The 6,000-nt window shown below is 45.4% G+C and overlaps 1 long non-coding RNA gene across 1 annotated transcript; it reads left to right on the top strand.

Annotated features, from left to right (window-relative positions):
• Positions 1 to 4,254: 4,254 nt before the first annotated feature.
• On the top strand, positions 4,255 to 5,412 carry LINC02727 (long intergenic non-protein coding RNA 2727). Its single transcript, NR_183637.1, has 2 exons — positions 4,255 to 4,583; positions 5,293 to 5,412. It is a non-coding gene; the product is annotated as a long intergenic non-protein coding RNA 2727 (long non-coding RNA).
• Positions 5,413 to 6,000: the final 588 nt, after the last annotated feature.

The raw sequence follows: 6,000 nt of genomic DNA, 5'->3' as shown, positions 1-6,000 counted from the left end.
TCTCTGGATAGCAGATAATTCCAATACATTCAACTACATAACAATTGTGCTTGTCTCACCAATGATATTACTCCTGAGAACTGAATATATCTAAGGTTTTTTCTTCATTGCCCAAGAAGGTCTTGATTTACCAGCATAATCAGTTTATGGGAGAAATTATTCTAGCCATCAACAGGGGAGGATTAGCTAGGGAAGGGCTGGCTCACGTTTAGGACTCACTGATGATTATTTCTGTTCTTACTGAGCAGCCAGATGTCTGGCACTCTCTGAGATTTTATCAATTTAATTTGACCCCTGGAGAGACACATAAACAAGGACAAGTCTTTCCAGGATATGATGTGGAAAAACAGAGACAAGAGATGGTACTACACAAAACTGTGTCATCGGCTACACTTGTGTGGGAATGCTTGGTCTCTCTGACTGTGGTAGAGCCTACTACTAGTAATTATTAGCTCTTACAGGGTCCTGAGCATTATTCTAAAGGCTTCAGATGTACAGCATTATTTAATCCTCACCACCACCTATGAGACAGGCAAAGTCAATGCCATTGACATTTTAGAGGACAGAGCTGGGGCACAGAGGAGCTAAGTAACTTGTTCAAGGTAACACAAAGGTAGGATTTGAACTCAGGTGGTCTTGTTTCACAGCCTGTGCTCTTACCCATCATATGAGACTGTCTCTCACCCATAGAATTGAAAAAGGCTTTTCCATTTTCCCTCTTCCTCTTCCTCTTCCCCTTCCTCTTCTTCTTCTTCTTCTCTTCTTCCTCTTCCTCTTCCTCTTCTTCTTCTTCTTCTTCTACTTCTTCTTCTTCTTCTTCTTCTTCTTCTTCTTCTTCTTCTTCCTCTTCTTCCTCTTCTTCCTCCTCCTCCTCCTCTTCTTCTTCTTCTTCTTCTTCTTCTTCTTCTTCTTCTTCTTCTTCTTCTTCTTCTTCTTCCTCTTCTTCTTCTGTTCTTCTTCTTTGACGGAGTCTCACTCTGTCACCCAGGCTGGAGTGCAAATGGCACGATCTCAGCTCACTGCAAGCTTCACCTCGTGGGTTCATGCTATTGTCCTGCCTCAGCCTCCCGAATAGCTAGGACTACAGGCACCCACCACCACGTCCAGCTAATTTTTGTATTTTTAGTAGAGAAGGGGTTTTGCCATATTGGTCAGGCTGGTCCTTCTTCTTCTTCTTTTTTTTTCCCCCTTTTCTTTTATTTATTTATTTTTTGAGACAAAGTCTTGCTCTGTCACCCAGGCTGGAGTGCAGTGGCACAATCTCAGCTCACTGCAACCTCCGCCTCCCAGGCTCAAGTGATCCTCCCGTCTCCCGAGTAGCTGGAAGTACAGATGTGCACCACCATGTCTAGCTAATTTTTTGTTTTTTGTTTTTTGAGATAGGGTTTCATCATGTTACCCAGGCTGGTCTTGAACTCCTGGGCTCAAGTGATTCGCCCACCTTGGCCTCCAAAGAACCGGGATTACAAGCATAGACCATCGTGTCCGGCTGCTGTTTCATTCTCTACCTGTGTGATTTGGGGCCTGTTACTTAACTTTTCAGTGGCATTTGCATTGTAATAGATTACAAAGCTTTACAGTGGGAAAAATTGGAGGTCTCAGCCTGCTACCCTCCCCATATCCTCAACCCCTAGCCCCAGCTGAGGCATTAGTTTCATTTCCTATATGCTCAGCTCCAAAAATCTTGACCAACTCTGAGTAAGAATGTGCTGGAGCAGGCTCAGCTATACCAGTCCATGGAGGCCAAGTCCTAGAATGCTCAGCCTTAGTGTAATACTGGCCTCAGTGAGTCCCTGCGGGCCCTGAGCTCCCTTGTGCCTGCACCCACTTGTCCCTGGTGTGGCTCCTCTGTCCTGTAAATGCAGCTCCAGGCCTCACCTTCCTTACCCAGATTCCCCCCACAATTCACTCTGTTGATATGACTAAGCCTCTGCTTTGACACCTCCTCCTAGCTCTAGTTTAGGAAGCCTATCTAATGCCCAGTTCTGGTATATGGGTTGGGCCCTGCCTTGCAATTTCCAGTTCCTTTCCCCATTTTAAACGAGCATGGCCGCTTAAGACAGCTCTCCCTCAGAGCTGGGCCTCTGCTCCCGGCAGCCTCTCAGTTCACTACTTACCTGACCACTTGCAACACCTGTGTTCCCCAGAGCGCTCTATCAACAAGCTGATGATCTGACTCCCCCTCCCTCCCTCCCCTCCCTCTCCCCGCCTTCCTCCCTGCTTCCTCCCTCCCTCCCTTCCCCTCTCCCTCCCTTCCCCCCTTCCTCCCTTCCTTCCTTCCTTTCTTTTTTCCTTCCTTTTTTCTTTCTTTCTTTCAGATATGATTCACATAAATAAAATTCATCACTTTAACCATTGTAAAGTATATAGTTCAATGGCTTTTAGCATATTTTTGAGGCTGTGCAACCAATACCATTATCTAATTCCAGAATGTTTCCATCACCCCAAAAAGAAACCCCATATCCAGGAGTAGTCACTCTCCATTTCTCCTCCCTCAGCCCCTGACAATCATCATTCTACTTTCTGTCACTATAGATTTGTGCCTATTCTAGACACTTCATACAAATGGAATCATACAATATTTGTCCGGGTTTTCTGGCTTCTTTCACTGAGCATAATGTTTTTAAGGTAGTGCATGTTGTAGCTTGAATCAGTACTTTGTTTCTTTTTATGGCTGAATAATATTCCATTGTGTGGATAGACCACACTTTGTTTATCCATTCATCACTTGATGGACATTTGGGTTGTTTCTAGTTTGGGGCTGTTATGAACAATGTTGCTATGCACATTTGTGTACAAGTGTTTCAGCCGTCTTGGCTATTATAATTAGGAATGGAATCGCCGGGTCATATGGTATGTTTAACTTTTTCAGGAATTCCCAAACCGCTTACCAAGGAATCTGAGTCATTTTACATTTCCCAGCTGTGCATAGGGGTTTCAGTTTCTTCACATTTACCGCAACCCTCCTTATGGTCCTACTCTGGTATTTCTTCAGTCTCCTGCCACTGGGTATTTTCATGCAGTTTCTGATTCTTTGAACAAAGTAAACGCATTTGATTTTGATGGTAGAGTCCTGAGATTTGGTCAGCTTCGCCATGCGGGATATTAAGGCAGCTATATTTTAGGGGGCATATTAAAAAAGAATTCTAATCTTCAGTTTTCTCATTTGCTAAATGGGAATAATAATAAGGATTTTGGGCTGATTAAATGAGATAGTGCATGTAAAACCCTCAGCATGATGCTTATAAACCCTTACCTCAAAAAATGCTAGCTCTCATTATCACTGTCTTTCTTTGTCCACATGTCTGGACCTCTGGCCTGTCAGTCATTCCATCAGCCATTTGGTTAGTTAGCAGGTATGGACAGAGAGCCCCCGCCACATGCCTGCCACTGTTTTAGGAACTAGTAATACAGCACTAGACAAGAAAGAGCTATACCTTTAGGATCTAACATTCTACTGGGGCAAGAGGCACAACAAACATGCAAGTGAAGAAATGAAAATAATTTTAGAAACTGGAAGTACCTGAGAAAATAAAATAGGGTAATGTAGTTGTGGATAGGGTGAGGGGCTGCCCAGATGGTGTGGCCAGGGGAAGCCTCTTGGAGGAGGAACATCGGAGTTAAGACCTGGAGGCACTCACACAAGGTCTGGGGAAGAAAACTCCACACAGAGCAAACCCCAGGCACATAATTCCCGGGACAGGAAAGCCTTGGAGGGGCTGAGGGGCTGAAAGGAGGGAGGGGAGGAGGGAGGGGAATGGCAGGAACTCCAAACAAGCCAGGGATCATGGAGAAGAGACAGCAGAAGCCAAAGGGGCTGCTGCAGCGCAGTGCTGGGGACAGCAGCAAGAAACAAGAGTGTCCGTGGGGCCCCGGAGAAGGACGTCCGTGAAACTGGGCTAAACCCCAAGTGTGAAATTTGGCAGGGGTTCTGGGTACTGAATGTTCTCCATTGTTGGCCACAGTCAAAAGAAGCCTCGCCGGAAATCTACAGCATGGCACAGCTCGTCCCTGAACGACACTGTCACTCGCTCTTGGGAAGTCCTGTCCTCATTCAGATTGCTTTATTTCTGAGACCAATCACCTGATCACACATCTGCTGCTAGCATTCGAGCCCTAACACAAGAGTGTGCGTGAATATAGGTGATTGTGTTTCAAAAAGGAGGGAGAAGGAGGCCTGAATGCCTCTCAGAGTGCATTGTGTCTGGGGCTAGTAGGGTTGCCCCTTGTTCTGTGATGTCACAATGCCCAAACACACGCACCAAGAAGTCATCAAAGACAGCCCAACTCACAGCCCATGAGGGACCCTGAGTACTGCCTCTGACCTCTCTATGGCAAGCCAAATGGCCATGGGAAGACCCCATGGAGTGTCAGAATGATGCCGTTGAGGGCAAGGATTTTAGACCGGTCATGGATTCTGCCTGTGCACTGGGCTCTACCACTTTCTAGCTATCTGGCTACTAGCAAGTTACCTTAACAATCTAAGTTTCAACCTCCCCATTCGTGAAATGGAGATGATGTCTTAGTCATAGAAGTAGCAAGTCTACTGCATATCAACAGTGTAGCACTGAGCCTGGCTCTTTGTAAGTGTTCAGTAAGTGTTACTCATTATAATGTATTATTATTATTACTACTACTACTACTTTTTTCTTTTTTTTTTGAGATGAACTCTCGCTCTGTTACCCAGGCTGGAGCGCAGTGGGATGATCTCTGCTCACTGCAGCCTCTGCCTTCTGGGTTCAAGTGATTCTCCTGCCTCAGCCGCGTGAGTAGCTGGGGTTATAGGCATGAGCTACCACGCCCAGCTTATTTTTGTATTGTTAGTAGAGGCCGCATTTCACCATGTTGGCTGGGCTGGTCTTAAACTCCTAACATCAAATGATCCACCCACCTTGGCCTCCCAAAGTGCTAGGATCACAGGCGTGAACCACCGTGCCCAACCTACTACTACCATTTTAAAAGCCTCTACCTATAAAGGATCACAATGCTTTGAAAAGGAAGTGCAGAGGTTGAAGGGTGTCTCAAGGAGGGCAGTGATCAAAACCATACTAAGTATTTGAAAATCAGAAGAAAAGGTTGGGTGAGGGTAGATCCTGGATGAAATAATATTATTAAATAGCTTTTCAAGTATAGACATTGAAGAGCTACAAGCTGGAAAGGGGGCCAAAACTAACTCGTTTTTTGGTATACCTTACCATATGCCAAATACCAGACTGCAGAGTTTACATTTGTTATTGCATTCAATCCCCATTGCAACCCTCTGAGGTTGTTATTATCATTCCCACTTCACAGATAAGGAAACAGGCCGAGAGACGCAAGTCAAACAGCAAAGGATGGTCTGCTGTCTGTCTGACTCCAATGCCAATGGTCTTTCCTCTATAACCTAAAGCAATAAAACCCCTGCAACATCTATCTTATTATTACATAAATTATAAGGTTCAATATACCCCCCCACCACAACCACTAATATTGCAGCTGCACAACGGCAGTCCTCACCGAGGAATTAATCCATCCCAGGGAGACAGACATGTGAGCGGCTAAGTATAATGTTTGAATGATAAAGGCTCTTTGTGTAGCAAGAACAAAACTCTGGCAGAGAACAGAGGAAGAGTGATTCTTTCTGCTGGAATCAGGGAAGGAGTAAAAAAAGCCCGGGGCCTTCTACAGAGGAGGAGAGCCAGGTGCGGCTCTGTAGGGTTAGCTGGTGGAAAGGTCTGGGAAGAGCATTCATGTTGGATGTTGGCTGGGGCAAAGGAAGCCAAGGTATGGAGGTAAGGAGGCAAGTAACCTGATCACATGAATATTTCAGGGTATTACATCTGACGACAGTGTAGAGGATGCAGCAGGGAGAGAATGAAGGCAAAAAGTGAGGTTCTTCCAACTCATGTTACAGTAAGACTGCCTTTGGAATCTGCAGGGCCGTTTTAGTAGGCAGTAAAGGAGGTATTTCAAGGAATCCACTAGGTCTGGTCCTTCAAAGAGCTCACAGTACATGCCCAT

This window comes from Homo sapiens, chromosome 11 (assembly GCF_000001405.40).
Source record: "Homo sapiens chromosome 11, GRCh38.p14 Primary Assembly".
NCBI lineage: Eukaryota > Metazoa > Chordata > Mammalia > Primates > Hominidae > Homo > Homo sapiens.
Note: the sequence above shows the minus strand (reverse complement) of the source record. Positions and strands in the feature narration are given on the sequence as shown.